General features: G+C 52.1%; 1 protein-coding gene across 1 annotated transcript in view, besides 1 other annotated feature; it reads left to right on the top strand.

Annotated features, from left to right (window-relative positions):
* GRID1 (glutamate ionotropic receptor delta type subunit 1) overlaps positions 1-21,306 on the top strand; it is a 767,244-nt gene that overhangs the window by 117,921 nt on the left and 628,017 nt on the right. The window lies entirely within an intron of this gene.
* Positions 14,970-15,635: an enhancer, noted in NCBI's record as "H3K27ac-H3K4me1 hESC enhancer chr10:87992997-87993662 (GRCh37/hg19 assembly coordinates)". NCBI's record gives its function as "activates a minimal SCP1, AML or CMV promoter by ChIP-STARR-seq in naive H9 embryonic stem cells {active_cell/tissue: H9 hESC(naive)}" and the evidence as "EXISTENCE:reporter gene assay evidence [ECO:0000049][PMID:30033119]".

The following is a 21,306-nucleotide window of genomic DNA, read 5'->3' as shown; positions in this document are numbered from 1 at the left end:
GAATCGTCATGCCCAGGCTGGGCACTGTATTCCTAACACTTTGGGAGGCCAAGGCAGGTGGATCACTGGAGCCCAGGAGTTCAAGACCACCCTGAGCAACATAGTGAGACTCCATGTCTACAAAAAATACAAAAATTAGCTGGGTGTGGTGGTGCATGTTTGTAGTCCCAGCTACTCAGGAGGCTGAAGTAGGAGGATCGCTTGAGCCCAGGTGGTGGAGGTTGCAGTGAGTTGAGATTGTGCCGCTGCAGCCAGGGCAACAGAGTGAGACCTTGTCTCAAAAAAAAAAAAAAAAAAAAAAAAAAAAAAAAGAATTGTCATGCCCGATTTGCAGACAGGGAGCAGAGGTCTAGAGAGATTGGGATTTATCCAACGTTTTGTACGACCAGTGCAGAAAGAAAACTTTCAAGTCTGCTGATTCTGAAGCTCATAGTTATTTTTTGTTGATTGATAATATATTATTGTTTTAACCACTCCAGGTTGCAATCCCTCCGCCCTCCCTCTCCCAATTTGGTTCTGTAGATCTGTCTGAATATGGCCACCTGCTGAGGTGGGGCCCAGCATGGCAGTGGGTGGTGCTGTGCGTGGGGCCTCAGTGCTCAGGCAGCCCCAGCCTGCTGCGGGGGTGAAGGTGGGTGAAGGTGACTCCCGCTGGCAGGAGCTGCCTCATTAGATGGTGCCTTTGCCATCTGAAGCCACTGTGTCTGCACCGTCTGCCTACTTTGTGGAAGTGGCTTTGGTTTATTGGGAAGGAATTTAATAAGCAAGCAGTGATTCTGAACATTCTGGGGGAAGTGGGAGGCAGTTTGAGGGGTGGGCAGCTCCCTCTATTGGGCCCCTTGGGGGCAGCTCTTGTTGATCCCCCATCTCTGTGGAGGTTGTGGGGGGATCTGGTTGTCAGGGTGGTCATAACCACATTCTGGGCCTGCTTGGTGGATCTGGAGACAACTACCAACACATGTTTGGTGTTCAGAGGGCTTGGTCTTGGGCTCAAGTTGGTCCCTTCAGACTCTGCCTGGGCTCTGTGCCTATGCCAGGCCTCCTTGAAGGAGGAGTGCTGGGCCATCCCCTCTCTAGTTCATGGCTGGGTGCTCCCTGGGGTCTCAGGGGCCCAGCCGGTGCCAGTCTCTGCTCTGTCTAGTGTGCTTGTTCCCACATTCCTTGGCACTTCCCCCTCTCAATCCCAGACTCTAGCTCCCACCTCTCTCATCTTAGTTTCCCAACTTTGAAAAAACTTTTAGGGGTAGTCATGGCCCCTTACTGGAAGACCCAGAGCCTTTCCTTCTAGCCTTCTGCCCTTGGAGACTGCTTAGCCAAACTTTCACCGTTATGGGGCTGGTTTGGTCTCTTTTTTGGTGACTAGTTTGAGAATTTATCTATCCATCCATTCATCCATCTATCTGTCAATCCTTTTATACTCTTTCTACCCACCCAGCCAACCATCCATTCATTCATCAACTCATCTGTCCATCCATCCATTCATCCATCATCCATCCATCCATCCATCTGTCCATCCCTCTGTCTTTCCATCTACCCACCCATCTATTCATCTACCCACCCATCCACTCATATATCCATCCATCCATCCGTCTATCCATCTATCCATCCATCCATCTATCCATCCATCTGTCCATCCCTCTGTCCTTCCATCTACTTACCCATCTATTCATCTACCCACCCATCCACTCATATATCCATCCATCCATCCATCCATCATCCACTCATCCATCCATCCACCTACCCCCTTGCCCACTTGTCCATCTGTCCTTCTGACCATCAGTCTATCCAGTCATTGAGCCAACATGTATTTACTGACACCTGTGGTGTTCCAGGCACGGTGTCAGGCAGCATGGACCCAAAAAGAGATGAGGCTCATTTCTAATTGGATAAGCAATGTGCAGAGGAGACATCAGTCATTCTTATGGGGCCATATTTAGTGATCCAAGGATGCCACAGAGCTTGGTGAGCTGTCCAAGGGCTCTGAACAAATCAGTACAGTCATCACAGTGATTGTTACTGAAATTGAGTGGGGAGGGGCATGTAGGAGCCAGCACTGGCTGGGGGAGGCCCTGTGTAGGGGGTTGGCTTTGGAGAGGTGGCTGCTGTGAGAACACCAGGCCTAGAATAAGCTTTCAGGCTGTGCCATTCCCTGTGGGTGGCAGGGTTGTCAGGAAGACAAGAGGGGGTTCTTGTGCAAGGTACGTGGGGGTGGGACAGGGTTCTGGGCGGTGGAGGGTGGATGGAGGGACCTGGAAAAGGAGGCAGGGGCTTTGAGGAGGCCCGGGTTAATGGTAGGGAATGCCAGCAAGGGGAGATGGCTCAGTGGTCCCCATGTGGATGGGCAGATTCTCAGGCTCCTCCTCTTCCCTGTGAGCTGGCCCAGGTGCGGCCGGGTTGTGGTGGCTGAGACCCAGCTGGAGTCACTGTCAGGAGCTCCCTTGCTTGTTCCTTCTGTTGGTGGCCAGGGCTGGGCTCCTCTCAGATAGCAGACAGGCCAGGCTGTCCTCAGAGAGAGGCCACGGGAGAGCGAGAAGTGTCCACACAGGGCCCTCAGGGAGCCCAGGTGGGCCGTGGCTTCACAAGGCCCTGTGGCTTTACCTGCCTGGCTGTGGTTAGTGGGGTCAGGGAGTGGCAGGGCCGGTGAGTGCAGCTGAGGGGAGAGCATCCTTTGCCCTCCAGGCTGGCTCTAAGTCAAGGCCAGAGAGGTTCTGGAGCAGCACAGGCCCTGGTTCCCAGATTCTGGTGGCACTGACCTTTCAGCCTCGTGGCTCCCTGGGAGAGCAGAGCTGGGAAGGACCCTTGTGTTTTTCCCTGACCCTGGGTCGTCTTGGCCCCCAGGCACATGGGTGCCTGCCCCAGCTTTTGGTTCACCTCTCCTTTTTGTATGGATCATGGTGGGTTTGGGAGTATGCGTGCACACTCTTGACATCTGCCTCAGGGAGGCTGGCTGCTGCAGCTGGAATGGGGACCATGAGGGTTCCTTCTTCCTGCCTTCCCTGGCTTCCTGTGCTGCCCCAGCCTTCTTCTTCTGCTGACCTCTGGCCTGTGGCTTTGTGAGTGCCCAAGGCCGGCCAGCTGTGGCTGGTGGGAAGCGGGGGCTTCCTTTCTGCCCAAACTTCTCATGGGAAAGTGGGGCAGGGACAGCTTTGGGGCAGGTGAGTGGTGGCTGCTCACTCATGTGGCTTCAAGGACCACCTGAGATGCCCATTCACCACTTGGGGACAGCACTGTCACAGGCAGTTCCTTTGGGTGGGGCCTTCTCTGTTTTGCAGAGGCCACCAAGGAATGGAGTAAAGCGAATAGTAGAGGAGGAATGGAGTAAAGCGAATGGTAGAGGAGGAATGGAGTAAAGCAAATGGTAGAGGAGGAATGGAGTAAAGCAAATGGTAGAGGAGGAATGGAGTAAAGCGAATGGTAGAGGAGGAATGGAGTAAAGCGAATGGTAGAAGAGGAATGGAGTAAAGCGAATGGTAGTAGGAGCTGCAGTGATGATGGTGACAGGCCATAGGAATGGGTGACTGTCTGAGGGGTAGGTGCTGGGACATGAGCCCCAGCATGGGCAGTTTCCTAACTTCCCCAGGCCACTGGCCCACTTGCCGTAAGGGGTTTCTGTGCCAACTCTGGGAGAAGCAGGCGGGTAGTGTCCCCTCTTCCCTCCCCTGGCTTAATCCACTCCCCCAGAGCCCAGGAGAGGAGTTTCCAGGTATTGGGAGCTGGACACAGGCCAGTTGGTCTACAGGGAGCCCCAGGCTCTGTACCAGGCCAGGTTCTTAGTGCCTAAGGTCCCCCGCCATCGCCTCAGGAGGAGAAAGGAAAAAATGAAAACATGGAATCAGTGCGACAGGGGTCTAATTACCCTGGGTAGCATCAAGCCTCCAATTTTGGGCCCTGGTGCTCCTTTTAATTTGGGGTGTTTAAATATTTACCTGCAATGGAGGGGAAAAAATCTTTTGGGCTGCAAGGCTATTCTGGCAGCAATGCACTGAGAAATTCATTAAACCACAGTTAATTAGGGGATGAAAGATACGTATATAGCTCATTAGCTCAACCCACATAATTTACATCTCTGAGGATATTCGAGGACTAGCTCAGCTTAGGCTCTCAGAAATGGTGTCTTGAAAGGAAACCTCTCACTTTGGCTATTTCTTTGGGCATGTGGCATTAGGGAGGGGGCCATGGCTGCCCTCTGTCTGTCCATCCACGAGAGGGTAAAGGGGCCCAGGCCTCGCTGCCTCTTGTGTTCGCCGCTGGAGCCAGAGGTGGGGCTGACTGGCTGTGCTCCTGCTGCCAGGGATGATTAACGAGGGGGTGGCAGCCTCCTTGCAGGCGCGCTGCTTAGCATAATGGTGCGGTGTCTGAGCAGGCTTTAAGCTGCATCGAATCCGATTTCTAGATCAGAGACATTATCCCCGATTTAATCTGTAATAGTTAGAGAAATTAGGGCGGGAGCATCAGATCCACGTGTCTCTTACCAGACAATAGTTCCTGTTCTGGCGCCTGCCTGGGGCCTCTGAGGGGAATTAGGGAGGCCTTGGCTCTGCTGAATCTGTGTCCAGGACTTGCACACACAGCAGGCCCCGCAACTCTGCCCCCTTGAAGGGCTGCTCCTCTGTGCCACTGTCCCACCAACTTGGGGCTATGACAGGATTACTGACCTTGCTAAGGGTTTCTGCATAGTTGTCATCTTTTGGTGGATATTGGTAGGAAGTGCAGTTGGTTAAAAAAAAATTCCCTGGCCAGGTCCCACTATCAGCCCTCACCCTGATTATGCCCCCAATTGAGGAAGAGAGATAAGGAGAGGAGCTGTGTTTGCATGCCTGTGTATATGTGTATACAGGTGTGCACACATACATGTATACATGTATGTATATATGTGTACACACAGTGCACACAAGCACACGTGTGTGCATGTATGTGCAGGTATGTATGCATGTGCTTGTGTGCACATGTGTGGCACGTGTGTGCAGAGATGGTGGCGAGGACTGGGGAAGGCTGGATTAAATGTCCTGAGGGATCGGCTTGACCCCTGCTCGGCCGTGACATCTGCCCGCCTTGTGCTGGGGGCTGCGGGTGAATGGAGGTTGGCCAGAATCAGACTGGAAGGTGGGAACCCCATGCTGTTAATGGGTGGCGCTGGCATTTTGGGCAAGCAACTTTCATTTCCAGGCCTTGATTTCCTCGTCTGTATACTGGCAGCAGCAATCCCTCACTCAGACTATTTTTGAAAATTAAGGGAGATGATAGAATTGACACTCTTTCTCCAGGGCCTGGCATAGAGGAACTGCTCCCTCTGTGTTAGCTGTTTTCATTATTGTTTTTTGTTCTTTACCACTCTGAGCCTCAGTTTCCTCATCTGTTAAGTGGGGTTGTCTAGCTCACAGGGTGGTTATGAGGAGCTGAGTTCCCATTGGCATCTGACACACAGGACCCAGACAGCTGAGTGGCTTTGGGCCATGTCAATGAATGAGGAGGGGTGGGCACAGCCTGACAGTGCTTGGCTCTCCAGGCCTGGTTAGGGCCCAGGAGTAACTCAGCCCCTAAAGACTCCATCTGAGGATGGCTGACCCCTATCCTGTCCTCCCCCAGAGGAGACCTACCCTATTGAGCACGGGTCTGCAGAGCCAGGCCTCTGGGCCTTGGTGGTACTGCCTACTGGCAGGTCCTCTTCCTCTTCTTTTGGGTTTGCACCTGTTCCTGATGGCACCCACACCTGCATCGGGTTCCTTGATATGAACCACCACCACTGTCAGATAGCAGCAGCAGCACTGAGAATTACAGTTGATATGCATTCTGCTGGAGTTGACATCTTCACACCCATCCTGGGAAGTGGGCATTATTATAACTCTTGTTTTACAGGCGAGGAAGCTGAGACACAGGGAGCTTGAGCCTGGGCCCAGCGTAGGCCTGCTGGAGGTGGGGAATTTGGTGAGGCAGGTGGGGCTGGGTGAGGAGCTGATGGACAAGCAGTGTCCATTGGCTGTCAGTACCAGATCCCTGTCCTACCACTTGTTACTGTGACTGTGGGCATGTTACCTCTCTGTGCCTGAGTTTCCTCATCTGTGGCCTGGATGTCATTACTCGGAGGATGGAGCAAGGTCACCATGCAAAGCACCAGTATCTGGCACATGGAGAGCTCTGATTCTTGGGAGTAGGGTGTGAAGAGTGTACTGCTGGAGAGGCCCTTTTGGACGAGGTGGCCTGGACAGGGGTTTTGGAGGTGGGCATGGGCAGGGGCTCCAGCTTGGCCATTCTTCCTATATGGCCTTAGCCCCTTGCACTCTTTAAGTTGGCTGCCTTACCTATATCCCTTTCAAAAGTTTTAAAAGTACCCCCTGCCTCAGCCCAGGCTGAGCCAGGGCCTGTGAATGCCTGATGAGGGCATCCCTCCACCAGCAGGCAGCTCAGGATACGTCAAGAGCCCTTGTCCTTTCTTGGATGTCCTGGGAGGGGAAGTGTGGCAGCCCTCAGCCTAGCCCCCTGAGGCTCTCAAGGTCAGCGTCTGGGTCAGGAGGCAGTCTCCCTCTTCCTCCATACCCTCATCAGCAACTTGTGGGGCCTTTTGCTCCAAACACTCCATGATCCAAAAGCTAGGAATGCCATTGTCCTCCTCCGATCTTCGTATGTGTTGTTCCTTCTGCCAGGAACACCTGACCTTATTCTTTCCTTGGTAAATCTTGCTCTGCCTTCAAAAGGCTCAGTTCATGATTTAGCAACCACATACTCCCTGCCAGGTGGGCTCATTGTTTCCATGAGGTTCCACTGTGTTGCCAGAACCTAGCACGGGGCTTGGCACATAGTAAATGCTCAACAAAAATCTGTGTAATTGAATTAGTGTACATTATTACAAGCCATCTGCTTCACGTCTCTGTTGCTTCTTCCATGTGAGCCATTGAGGCCAGGATTCCCCTGAGGGTGGGGTGAAGCTCGATCCTTGCATCCAGGGACCCAGCATAGGCATTGGCACACAGGAGGTGCTTCCTGAGGGTCTGTTGAGCTCAGCAAAATACCCGGGGCTCTGACCAGGCTGGGTCAGGTGGGGGTGTCTTCTGCTCCATCCAGGCAGTCTGGGCTCTTGCAGGTGATGGCCTCCCAGGGGCAGTGGTTGGGGGTTTGTCTCAGCAGGACTTTGAGTAGGAACTTGCACTAGATCACTCATAACTAATTAATTATATTGTGGAATTGAGGCTCATTCCTATTATTCACTGATGAGAAAATTAAAGATCTATTGATATTGCAATAATTAATTGAATAAAAATGTGGAAATAACTATGCAAACTCTGTCTAGGATTAAGTTAGTGATACTAACTCCCTGGTGACCAGATAGCGGTGGGGGGGAGTTCTGCTTAAGGGGAGCATGGCCCAGATGAGGCCTGGAGGCCCTGCCTGAGGTGGTGTGGACTGATGGGTGGTGCTCGTTTGGCAGGGGCATTGCCCAGAGGGACTCAGCCTGCGGCTGTAGGGGGCCCCCCTGTAAAGATGCCTCACTCTTAACTTGCCAGAAGTGGAGGGGTCCTGATGGCCAGGGCCAGCCAGCGGGTGGAGCCTTTGCCCTGAAGGGCTAGGACAGAGAGGGAGTTACAAAGAGGAGCCAAAGTCACTTCAGGGAATAGACAGCCTGGGTGAGGTGAGGAGAGGGGCTGGGGGGCCAGGGCATGGTGGACTGAAGGGTCAGAGATAAGGTGAGAGTTCATAGCCAAGGCTGAGAGTGGTAAACAAGTGGGAGCTGGTGCATCTTGTGGGCAACAGGGCCTTGGACCCCTCACAGAGCACTGGGCAGTGGCCACTGATTCCAAAGAATGGTGGCTTCTCCCCAGACCCTGTTGCCTAGACTTTAGCATCAGGCTGTGTCTCCTTGTGTGCTTGGGTAAAGAGGCAGTGTCCATTCAGGCTTCATGTCCCCAGGGCCAGTGGGGCCTTCTCAGGGGCTCTGACCCAGCCTGGCAGGGACACCTTCCACGCCTTTCCACATTGGCTGCTCCTGCTGCTCTGTGCTTGGCTCCCCGAGGCTGGTCTGGGGCTCCCATGCTGCTATCTCTGGAGGATGGGGACCTGAGGTGACCACCAGTGAGCCACTGCTTGGCGGCAGCATTGATGCCATGGCTGGAAAGCCACATGTTGTTAGGTTCACCCTGATGCACCTGGTGGCTGCTCCACTGCGTGCAGCTGCTGCTTGGACTCCTTATCTGGGCAGCACATTCCATAGGGGAGCAGTTGGTCTCTTCTCTTCTGGAGCTAAAATCTGCTTTTCAAGGGTCCCAGCTCTGCCCTGCCCACCCCCGCCCCCGCCGCACCCACCCAAGAGGTGGGCCCCTGGACATATCTTGCCCTCTTGCGTACAATAGCCACAGCTCTTTTTCAGCACCTGCTTCACTGACCTGCTGCCTTCCCTGCACCTTCCTCTCAGTGCCCCTGGCCCTCCAGCATGGGGCTCAGTGCAGAGGAGGCAGCACTCCACTCTCATTCTCCAGATGGTCCCAGAATGCCCCTGTGAGCCAGGCACAATCCCAGGCCAGGTTCTAGCTCCCAGGAAGCTCATGTCCTAGTGATGTGTGTGCTGGAGTGATGGGGGTGGAAAGTGTGGAGGCCCAGGGCCCTGAAACCAGACAGCCAGGCTTGCCTCTCCCCAGCCATGGGCCTCAGGTACAGTGTCCGCTTCTGAGCCACAGTTTCCTTATCTGGAAATGTGATATTTGGTTTCCTGGGGCTTCCATAACAAAGTCCCTCAGGCTGGTGGGCTTCAAAAACAGATATTTATTTTCTCACAGTTCTGGAGGCTGGAAGTATAAGATCAATGTGTTGGCAGGGTTGGTTTCTGCTGAGCCCCTCTCCTTAGATTGTAGATGGCTGTCTTCTCCCTGTGTCTTCACATGGTCTTCCCTCTGTGTGTACCTGTGTCCTCATCTCCTCTTCTTATGAGGACACCAGTCTTATAAAGGTGGAATAGGGCCCACCTTCCTGATTCGTTTTAATTTAATCACTTCTATAAGGACCCTGCATTTGATCATTCTCACATTATTATAAATAACTACCTGAAACTGGGTAATTTATAAAGAAAAGAGGTTTAATTGTTTCTCTGGGCTGTATATGAGGCATGGTTAGGAGGCCTCTGAAAACGTACAATCGTGGTGGAAGGTGAAAGGGAAACAGGCATGTCTTACATAGCTGGAGAAGGGAGAAGAGAGCAAGAGCAGGTGCTACTTGCTTTTAAACAACCAGATTTTGTGAGAACTCACTCACTATTGCAAGAATAGCAAGAGGGAAATTTGCCCCCATGATCCAATCACCTCCCACCAGGCCCCTCCTCCAACACGGGGATTATAATTTGAGATTTGGGTGGGGACACAAATCCAAACCATATTATTCTGTCCTTGGCCCCTCCCAAGTCTCATTTTTTATCACATTGCAAAATACAATCAACCCTTCTCAACAGTCCCCCAAGTCTTAACTAATTTCAGGATTAACTCAAAAGTCCACAGTCCAAAGTCTCATCTGAGACAAGGCAAGTACCTTCTGCCTATGAGCCTGCAAGCTCAAAACCAGTTAGTGACTTCCAAGATACAATGGGGGTGCAGGCATTGGCTAAATACACCCATTCCAAGAGGGAGAAATCAGCCAAAACAAAGGGGCTACAGGCCCCATGCAAGCCCAAAACCCAGTCACTAAATCTTAAAGCTTCAAAATAATCTCCTTTGACTCTATGTCTCATATCCAGGCAACACTAATACAAAGGGTGGGCTCGCAGGGCCTTGGGCGGCTCTGTCCCTATGGCTCTGCAGGGCTCAGCCTCTACAGCTCTGGAGGATGGAGTGTTGAGTGCCTGTGGCTTTTCTAGGCACATGTTGCAAGCTGTTGGTGGATCTACCATTCTGGGGTCTGGAGGATGGTGGCCCTCTTCTTACAGCTCCACTAGGCAGTGCCCCAGTGGAGACTCTGTGTAGGGGCTCCAACTCCACATTTTCTCTCCACACTGCCCTAGTAGTGGTTCTCCATGAAGGCTCTGCCCCTGCAGCAGACTTCTGCCTGGACATCCAGGCATTTTCATACATCCTTTGAAATCTAGGTGGAGGCTCCCAAGCCTCAACTCGCACACTTTGCACACCTGCAGGTTTAACACCTGTGGAAGCCAGCAAGGCTTATGGCTTGCACCCTCTGAAGCCCAAGCTGTACCTTGCCCCGCCAAACGCTTTTTTTTTTTTTTTTTTTTTTGAGATGGAATCTCGCTCTGTCACCAGGCTGGAGTGCAGTGGTGCAGTCTCGGCTCACTGCAACCTCTGCCTCCCAGGTTCAAGTGATTCTCCTGCCTCAGCCTCCCAAGTAGCTGGGACTATAGGCATGTGCCACCATGCCCAGCTAATTTTTGTATTTTTAGTAGAGATGGGGTTGTATTTTTAGTAGAGACGGGGGGCAGGATGGTCTCAATCTCTTGACCTCATGATCTGCCTGCCTCAGCCTCCCAAAGTGCTGAGATTACAGGCATGAGCCACCACCCCTGGCCACCTTGGCCCTTTTAGCCATGGCTGGAGCTGGAGTGCCTGTGATGCAGTGTGCCATGTCCCAAGGCTGCACAGAGCAGCAGGTCCTGGGCCTTGCCTATAAAACCATTCTTCCCTCCTAGGCCTCCAGGCCTGTGATGGGAGGGCTGCTGCAAAGGTCTCTGAAATGCCTTTGAGGCATTTTCCCCATTATCTTGGCTATCAACATTTGGCTCCTCTTTACATATGCAAATTTCTGCAGCCTGCTTGAATTCTTCCCCAGAAAATGGGTTTTTCTTTTCTACCACGTGGCCAGGCTGCAAATTTTCCAAACTTTTATATTCAGCTTCCCTCATCTTCCTGTTTTCTTCTGAGCCCTCCAAACTGTTCCAACCTCTGGCAATTACCCAGTTCCAAAGTCGCTTCTACATTTTCAGGTATCTTTATACTAATGCCGCCTTTCTCAATACCAATTTGCTGTATTCGTCGGTTCTCAAATTGCTTTAAAGAACTCCCTGAGACTGGGTAATTTATAAAGAAAAGAAGTTTAATTGACTCAGTTCCACAGGCTGTACAGGAAGCATGACTAAGGTAGGCCTCAGGATCATGGTGGAAGGCGAAGGGGAAGCAGGCATGTCTTACATGGCAGGAGAGGGAGAAGGAGAGAAGGGGAAGGTGCTACATGCTTTTTTTTTTTTTTTTTGAGACAGAGTCTCGCTCTGTTGCCCAGGCTGGAGTGCAGTGGCACAATCTTGGCTCACTGCAAGCTCCGCCTCCTGGGTTCATGCCATTCTCCTGCCTCAGCCTCCTGAGTAGCTGGGACTACAGGCACCTGCCACCATGCCCAGCTAATTTTTTGTATTTTTAGTAGAGATGGGGTTTCACTGTGTTAGCCAGGCTGGTCTTGAACTCCTGACCTCGTGATCCACCCGCCTTGGCCTCCAAAAGTGTTGGGATTACAGGCGTGAGCCACTGTGCCCATCCAGGTGCTACATGCTTTTAAACAACCCGATCTTCCGAAAATTCACTCATTATTGTAAGAACAGCAAGAGGGAAATCCACCCTCATGATCTAGTCACCTCCCACCAGGCCCCCCGTCCAACACTGGGGGGATTACAATTTGACATGAGATTTGAGCGGAGACACAAATCCAAACCATATCAGACCCTGTATCCAAATAAGTTCACATTCTGAGGTACTGGGGGTTAGGGCATTTTAAGGGAGACACAGTTCAGCCCTTAACATAGGAGGTAATGTCACCTCCTCCCAGGAGCGTAGTGAGAAATGGCACAGTGTTCATGACACAGATCCTGGCACAGAGGTCTCCCTGGCTTTCCTGGGCTTTGGGTCTCTGAGGGGAAGGAGTGTGGAAGCAGAAGCAGAGGACTGTGTCGTGCCTGCCCATGGAATTAGAAGTTCTTCCTGAGTGTATCTCACCACGTCTACCTCCCAGCAGCAGTGCTCAGGGGCTCCAGCATGGCCTGGCCCCCAGAGTGCCACTCTGCCTCCTGCTCTCTGCTCTCCTGCTAACCCTGAGAGCCAGGCCTGGCCACACTCGCTGGGTCAGGCGTGTAGCCCTTCCCTGGCACCCAGGATTTGCCATGCACATTTTCCTTCTCTGTGCTTCTGCTCCTCCTGACCCCTGTGCCAAGACGTCTTGTCATCCTCCCCCTACTCACACCTGTCCCCTTTGAGACTGTGCTCCATTCTCAGTGCTCCCGTAATGGGTCCTGCCTGCTGATATTGCACTTTGCTGTGTGAAGACTGGAGCTAGTGTCATTGATGATGTATGCAGGTGGTGGAGGGAACATGCTGGGGATGCCGGAATGGCCTAGGGCTCAAGCTGTCCTGGGTCCTCATCTGTATTGCACTGGGTACTTCAAGTTGAAGGCCAAGACCATGCAGACCTTGACTTCTAGGGATGAAGTGGGGACAGTGATGGTAGTGGTGGCTCCGTTTTTCAATGGCCTATGTGACACACTAGGCACTCATCATCCTTGTTCTTTACTACAACATGGTAAAGTGTTATGGCATACTTCAACTTGCAGGTGAAGACATTGAGAGGTTGAAATATTGCCTAAGAGAAAAAACGTGCAAATCACATATTTTATAATGAATTTCTGTCCAGAACATATAAATGAGTCTTCCAATTCAATAAGACAAGCCACCCAATACAAAATGGGCAAAAGATTTGTATAGATACTTCACCAAAAAAGAGATACAGATTTCAAATAAACATGCAGAAAAGATGTTCAATAATGTTAGTCTTTAGGGACATGCAAATCAAAACATAATCAGATACCACTTCACACCCACTAGGATGACTATAATAAAAAAGACAGTAACAAGTGTTTTGAGAATGTGGAGCAACTGGAACCCTCATACACTGCCAGCGGGAATGCAAAATGATGCAGCTGCTGCGAAAAACAGTTTGACAGCTTATTAAAAAGATAAACACATATACTTCACCATATCATTTAGCAATTCCACTCCTAGGAATTTGCGAAAGAGAAAAGGAAGCATATGTCTATACAAAGACTTATACATGAATGTTCATAGCAGCATTATGTATGATGGCCTCAAACTGGATACAACACAAATGTCCATCAACTGGTGAATAGATAAACAAAATTGGATATTCCTATTCAGTGGAATACTACTCAGAAATACAAAAGAATGAAACACTGATACACGCTTAACATGGATGAACCTCAAAACATTATTCTAAGTGAAAGAAGGCAGACACAGAAGACTACGTGTTGTATGATTCCATTTATGTGCAATTTCCAAAAAAGGCAAAACTATAGAGACAGAAACCAGATGAGTAGCTGGCTGTAGCTGGGGGTGGAAGCAGAGATTGACTGTAAACAGGCATGAGGGGACCTTTGGGGTGTATGGAAATATTGTAAAACTGGATAGTGGGGATGGTTGCACAATTGTATAAATTTGCTAAAACTCAAAACCATGCAATGGGTGAATTTCATAGTATGTAGTTTGTACCTTAATAAAGCTGTTTAAAATGATCTTGCTGAAGACCATAACTAGAAAATGGTCAAGGCAGAATTCAAAGCAAGACCAGCCTTCTCCAGGCCTGGGTCTGTGGTCCACACTGCCAGGTACAGAGAGGTCAGCCTCGGGCAGGAGTTGAGAGACCTCTGCCCTCTGCAATGTGGGAGCCGCAGGGGAGGTGACAGTTGCATTTGGTGGTGGGTGGAGGACTAGGAGGTTGGGACTGGGCCTTCTCCAGGGCCTGAATATTTGAGGAGGGCATATGTATGAGTGTGCAAGGCCCAAGGAGAGAGCTGGCCAGGCTCTGGCCCGGGGAGTAGGGAGGCCGAGAGGGCTGAACTGGGCAGCTGCATTTTCTTTGGGAAAAAGTCTATCTGCATGCACGTCCGTGGAGCTTTCTCCCCTCCACTGTGCTTTCTCCTCTCCCCTGCACCTCCCTCCCTTTGAGGTTTCTCCAGCTCTATTGATTTGGCTGGTGGTTCCACCATCAGTGCGCCTGCAGGTAGTGATTTTCCCCATGAACTGCATCTCGGCTCATTAAGGAAGCCGGTGGCTCCCTGTGTCGCCAGTATGCCTGCTGTATTTTGCTGATGGGCCCAGAGCTGGATGGACCATGGAGGCTGCTTTCTCACCCTCCCATTCTCATCATTAGCATTCCAAAGTAGAAAACAAGCCTGATGCTTGCTGCCTAAATATTTATGGAATGCTGCTGGGGTCAGAGGATGAGAGCAGCAAGTGAAATTAAAGATTTACACCGCAACACCAACCTGGGGGGGCTTGGGCCATGGCTTGCTTTTTGTGTTGCTTAGAGAAAAGAGTTTTCTCTTTTCTCCCAGGAAACTTAGTTTTTGTAGATATTTGAAGCAAAATGCATGAAATTTTAATCTCTTGCTTCACATTGGATCTTCCTAAGTTGTTAGTTACTAAGGAGCCGATGAGTGAGAGGTGCAGACCCTTCCGTGTGTCTGGATGCACACAGGGATTCTGGAAAAACCAATGCCGTTGTTTGGCTTTCATTCTTTTGGCTCCACTGGGGAGCAGGGCTCATTTGATAGCGTGGGAGCTGCTGCCTGTATAGGGATTAGCTGGGGGCAGACGTGCCCGATGTTTGTTTCTCAATAACCCTGAAAGCTGGCCACTTCTCTCTTTCTAGGGTGGCTCTGATGAAACCTCCCATTTTAAATTGGAGGAAGGAAAAGGGGGATGGAGCATTTCTGCCGGGCCAGCTAAGGTCTGGTAGCAAACAGACCCTGAACAGAGTTTTCCTAGAAGTGTGGGCAAAGTTAGGGCACCAGCTATGTTGAAGTGGCCTCAGGAGGTGTTCCTGTCCCTAGTCCTGAAGGGGCACAGAGAGGGGACAGCAACTGGAGCAGGTAGTGCAGCCACAGTCAACCCAGCAAGGAGGCAGCCAGGGGAGAAGCACCCCCACCCTCACCCACCCTCCTCCCCACCCCCACCCCCTCTCCACCCTCTCATTTCCTGCCTGTGTCTCCCATTGGTCAAATCACCAAGGGACCTGGGGACAAGGGAGTCTTGGCCATGCCGTCCACAGCAGTCAGCCTTCCAGAGTCCCAGTAGTGGATCTGGAGGGCCCAATTGTCTCCAGTCACGTTCCCTAGAGGCAGAGCCTGGGACAGGGGTTGGGTGTCTGAGATTTATGGAGGGAAGCAGGTTAGAGAGGAAAAAGAGACAAGGAAGGATGTGGTATCATGTAAGTCTAGCCTGTCCTGATCAGGGACTCTGGAACATAGAGTTGTTCCCTCTGGAGGGAAGGAGGGGTGACCTCCTCTACCACCACCACTGTCTGATGTTGGCTGTGAGCTACCCTAGGGTGGGGAGTGGGCCATCCCCTCCGGCAGCTCCCCTGGGTGAGGGAAGTTTGCTGGAGAAGGGGGCACCTATGAGGCCCAGCTGCCTAACATTTAGAGCAAGAGGGGATGGGAGTGTCCATCTGTAAAGGGGGCCTGGCTGGGACACTAATAGCATCTGCGACTCCATCAGGGAACAGCCTCCGCACCACAGCCTGGCTTTGTGGGAGGACTGATGTCAATTAGCAGACACCTCTGGATTATAGAAATTGGCCCCTTGCTCCCAGCCATCTCATCTGGGGAATTAATATGAGTGCTAGTCTTCTCAGAAGCTGCACCGAACCTGGCTGAGGTGGTCACAACAGAGGCAGAGCCCCTTCTGCAGCTGACGGCTTTCCCTCTCTCGGTGGCTGAGACTGTTCAGCTTTCCCTAAAACGCTCCAGCCGGCCACTTCAGTGGGTGTCACATCCTGTCCCCCAGCCTCTGCCATAGACATCCCGTTCTCCTGCAAAGGCCTGGCTGAAGTACTCTCTTTGGTTATCCTGAGAAATTATCCTGAAGGGTTCCTGCAAGTGAAGAATTTTAGATGAGGGTATTTATCAGAGCCAAGCATTAATAATAAATGATGCCTGATTTTTTTATTAGAGGAGCCACATAAATGTGGCTGCTTCAACTTTTTAACTCTTGGGAAAGCTTGAAGTTGCAGGCTACTCTGCTGTGGGAGAGTGCCAGCTAATCAGGTCCCATTCATATGCAAAGCACTTGCTAAGCTGAGTTCATCAAAATGCAGTCGTTTCTTAAAAAAAAATATTTATAGACTTTCCCTCCCTGCAAAAGACTGCAAGGAAGATGGATAGTGAAAAATACAAATTGTTAATGCCCTGAAAAGGAAGTCTCATCCTGAGCCTTGCTAAAGCATTCCCTATTCTTTGAGAAAAACTTAAAAATGGGCATTTGTACTCTAGATTTCTCTACTTCCCTTTACTAAACTCTCTCCCTCCTCTTATTCCAGTCACTTCGCAGTATCTCTTTGGAGTCTAGTTTGATCTGTCCAGGTGGTGGTGGGGGTAGGTTCAGGATGGGTGGGAAATACAACAGGAGAGGCAGCTGGGCTGTATCGACTCCTGCCTTGACTGTACCTGACACAGTGCAGTCTTGGGCTTGTGAAACCTCACTGAGTCTTTGCATCAAGTCTGTCCCCATTATAGAGACTGGAAAACTGAGGCTCAGAGAGATGCCCAGTGACTGCCAGCCAGAGAACCCTCAGTGTATCAGTTCCTGAGGGAGCGGGAGCGGCATTCCAGAGCATGCGGGAACAGTGCTGCTCAGCTTGCCTTTTCTCCTGGCTCCCTAATACAACGGCTGCGTTATTCCCCTGGGGCCCTCCCTGGCCTCCCAGTTTTCTTCCTCGTGGGATTGGGATGCGCTATTCTCATTGCACTTAGGGATGAGAGAGGAGAAAACAGGGAAAGGGAAGCTGGGATTCAGGGCTTCCTGGCCCACTTCTCTACCCTTGTTTCTCCTCTCTTATACCCAAGTGCAGTGAGAAGAGGGTACCCCAGTCTCTGGGAGGTAAAAAAAAATGTCCATGCGGATACACGGGAGGGTTTGCAGTATAGGAGCAACCCTCACCCCATCCCTCACCCAATGAGCATTTGTTGAGTGTGTTCTGTGTGCCAGCCTCGGGGAATCATGGTCACATGGAGGTCCTGGACTGCTTGCTTCCTTGGGGAGACAGACAGTTAAATGCATGTTACTGTGAAGAGGTTTGCTGATGAGTAACTGAAGACACTGCGTCTCCAAATACAATAGGAGGCACAGACTAGGTGCTGATTGAGGTCAGCTGTCTAATGACTCCTGTGGTGGTTAATAATAGCTGCTCACTCTGCTTCCTTTTGTGGTAGCAAATACCCTTTGGAGACACACTTGGACAGGTTATTCTTCCCATTTATCAAATGGGAAAGCTGAGGCCTACAGAGATAACATGACCCCGACTGTGCTCTTCATCCAAAGCTTTTGCTGTCTCATTGCTTGAATACTTGTGGAGAGAGAGAATGGTTGACAGTAGGGCCATGGGCCTGCCTGGTTCAGCATGCCCTGGCTCAGGGCACAAGGGTTCACTTAGGGGGTCTGGAATAGGGTTACCTGTGGCCTGCTGGATCAGGGGCCATTAGAGCCAGAGCCTCTGTCCGGAGTGCAGAATGACTTGGCCCTGCTTCCCAGGCAGATGGCTGTGCCCTGAGTGTGCAGAGATGGTGGGGGTCAAGAGGGCATTTCTGACCTCCCAGGAACCAGCCCGGGCCCCCTGCCTCCCTCCTGGGAGACACTATCTTCAGATTTCCAGCAGATTAGCAGCAAACCAACCATTTCCGCTTGGAATTTGAAATTGATTGTGGACAATTTTCTGACATGCATGTCTCCTGCCATTTGCAAAATGTGTATCACAGGCCCCTTCTGGAAGCCTAGCTGGGCAGGCAGTTCTCCCTCCGTCCCTGGCCACCACCACAGATGTTTGGGTTTGCTGGAGCCAGAGTTGTGCTTAGAGACCTTGGAAACAGCCCAGTGCTGAGAGGCCTGGTCCTCGGGAAAGTCTCATGGAACCAGGGATTGCAGCTTGGGTAGAAGTGTGGCCACTTGGGCCTGTCACTGCCCACACCGCCGGGCACAGAGATGTGTGTGTATTACTCATGTCACCATCCATGGAGGGAGCCCATCTGCCAGCCCTGGGTGGGAGATGGATAGATGGGTTGGACATGATCCTGCTTGGAGGCGCTCACAGACCAGAGGGGGAGACAGCTCTGGCAACACAGAGGAGAGATCTGGGAGAAATCAGGGGAGTCTTCGTGGAGGAGGTGACAACTGAGCAAACTCTTGAAGTATGAGTAGGAATTTATAGTGGTCAGAGGAGACTTATGCACATAGAGGAAACAGGGTATGCAAAAGTACAAAATGTTGAAAGGTGACATGTGTTCAGGGAACAGTGGGAAGTTCAGGTGTGGAGACAGAAAGAAATGCATGTTTCCTCGCTCCAGGCTCAATGCTCAGCCAGGTTTAGTGCTGATGATGGCCTCTCCAGAGCTGATCAGGAGAAGCCGTTTGAGCTCTGTCTGCTGTCCTTTGGTTGTGCATTGTCACTGAGTGGCTTCTGGGAGGGGTGAGACTTCCAGCTCCGAGGGAAGCCAAATGTGGCACAGGAGTTCCTGGTGGTGTTGTCCCCACTGGAGACTCATTTCCTCATCTGTGATAGAAACTCCCCCAGGCAACTGTGTGACCAGAGAAGTGGAGACCTGTGGTGGCCTCTCTCCTCCGTAGTTCTTGATATGATTGCCCAGTCTGGGTTGGGGTAGGGTGGGTGGTGGTTCTGGGATGGGGCGGGACTGTAGGGTGAGGTCAGGCAGGGCCTGAAGCCAGGTTTAGGAGGCAGGGGCAAGTTGGGCTCGTGGTGGGCTGCTTGAGGCTGGCTGGTCACCATAGGCAGGAGGGCTAAGGCCGGGAGGAGGAGCTGCTGCTACCAGGAGCAGGATGCAGGGGCTGGGGATACCTGGAGGCTGTTACTCCTTCACTTACCAATGGTCCCATGTTGAGTCAACAAGCACCCTCAGGGCCTGCTCTGGGCCAGGCTCTGGGGATCCCAAGGTGAGGCAGACAGGTGTGGCCATATGGTGGAGTGACTGCCTGAGGACAGGACTCTATGTGTGGTGGTGTCTTACAGAGGACATAGCCTAGCCTGGGGTTCAGGGCAGGTCATCTGAAGGAGAGGTGTCTGGGCAGGACTTAGTGAAGTGGGGGAGGTTGTGGAGGAGGCTACAGCAGATGCCAGGTATGGGTAGGTGGACTTGGCTGGCCCGCACGCCCGGCTGTCTGCCCTGGCCACGCCATCAGAAGGGTTGAAGCCAGATGAGTTGAACTCCAGGCAGTGCTGGGCTATGACAAACCTGCTTAAGAATGAAGCTTCTGGGGTCCCTGGAATGACTGGGGCCTGTGTACTCCCAGAAGTGCACCCACTGCCACCCCCAGATCATGAGAATAGCTGAAACTCATAGAGGGTGCCCTGTGAGTCAGGCTCGGCTCTCAGCAATTTACACCATTTACTCACTCAGCCTGTGAGGCGGGGCTATTATTAGCCCGTTTTGCCAATGAGGAAATTAGGCACAGAGAAGTTAGGTGTCTTGCCCAAGGTCACAGAGTTAAGTGGCTTTAACCTTGGCAGCCTGGCTTCTTCATCCTTACTCTGAACCCCACACTCTGCTTGCAGTGCTGCCTGGTGTTTTGGTGGCCTCAGGCCCCAGCAGGTGCCTTAGCTGCTCCTCTGCCCTGGGAGGAGGGGGACTGGCAGTGCTGGCCCCAGGCACTTGCTAGAGAGTGGGGTGGCCTGGCTTAGGCTGAAGCACTGAGGTTCCCATGGGAGGCACAGAGGCACATGGCTAGAGAGATTGAGGGAATGGGGCTGAGTCAGGGTTCACAAAGTAGAAGGCCCAAAGGAGATCATGTGGGGACCCTCCCCCAGCTACAAGCAGTCCCTATTCGGAGGGCACGGAGCCCCACTCTGGACCAAGGCAGCCCCTCCCTACTGTGAGTACCCACTGCCTCCACACCCACACCCTTGTTCAGGGTGCCTCTGAGCAAGTGGAGCATTTAGAGGGGTCACACTTCTCTCCCTCAGTCTCTGCTGTTGCCTCTTTGGTGTTGAAGAGACCAATGCAAGATGCCCTTAGGGGTCCCTCCTGGGGTCCCAGCTCTTTAGAGCAATGAACTGGTTGCCAAGTGAGTATAAAAGAGTGGCCGGGCCAGGAGGGAACCCACACATCCACTTCCTGAGGGGTGACCCAGCTCCCTGAATGTGTGTGTGTGGGTGTCTCTTGGTGTCTCCAAGCTCTGCTGTGGGCTGGAGCTCCTGGGACACTGTTGTTCTCATTGGGTACTGGGGGGTCCAGGAGAGTGATTTTTCTGCTGGCCTTGGTGGAGTAGGCCCATCTCCTGCCATCCCTCATACGGGGCCAACACCTGGCAGCTCTGGGATGCCTGGCCAGGGTGTCAGGTGGAATTAACTGGCAGCAGGGCCAGGTGGGTGTTGATTGAGGCTGATTGCTGGAAGGCAGCGGCTGCAGGCTGCGCAAAGCTATTTCCAGCTGCTCCAATTGTATCAAGGAGGCTTAATCCTTCTAAGTGCCTTTGTGGTTGGGTGGTGTGGAGTGAGGATGGGGGACCAAGGCCAGAGCAAGGTCAGACTTCCTCTGATTGTCTACGTTTCCTCTCCCATTCACCCCACCCACCCCCTCCCATGCACCAAGCCACCCCCATTCACTCCTCACCACACCATCCTCTCCCCCACCCCTCCATCCACCCATGTACACATCCATCCGGCCACCTACTCACCCACCCACCTACACATCCATCCACCCACCTACTCAACCAACCACCTACACATCCATCCACCCACCTACTCACCCAACCACCTACATATTCATCCACCCACCTACTCACCCACTCACCTCACATCCATCCACCCCAACCCGGTCCCCCATCCATCCACGCATTCAACCATCTTTCCTTCCATCCATCCAACTATCCTTCCATCCACCCATCTGTTGATCTATCCATTCACCCATCAGTCTGCCCACCCATCTACCTACCCATCTGTCTGTTCTTTTGTGGCCATCATTCAGCATTTTCCTCAGTGTTTACTATGTATCTACCATGTGTCAGGCACCATGCAGGGCCTGGGGCTAAGCACAGATGAGGCATGGCCTAGGTCCTGCAGTGGCTCACAGTCTAGTGGTGGGAACGGTGCATGGAGCACCCATGATGGAGGGAGGATGGCCACCACAGGAGCTCACCTTGGGAGGGGAGCCATGCTGAGGACCAAGCAGGGACTTCACAGGTGGGAGCTGGGCCGAGCATCCTCCAGGCAGAGGGCTGGCATGGGCTGGGGCTCAGACGTGTGAGGAAGGACAGCAGAGTAAGGAATGGGGTGGGAGCAGGTATTGGGAAGGGACTGGGGAACTGGGCTGGCTGA

Source organism: Homo sapiens, chromosome 10, assembly GCF_000001405.40.
Source record: "Homo sapiens chromosome 10, GRCh38.p14 Primary Assembly".
NCBI lineage: Eukaryota > Metazoa > Chordata > Mammalia > Primates > Hominidae > Homo > Homo sapiens.
This window is presented reverse-complemented; position numbering and strand designations above follow the sequence as displayed.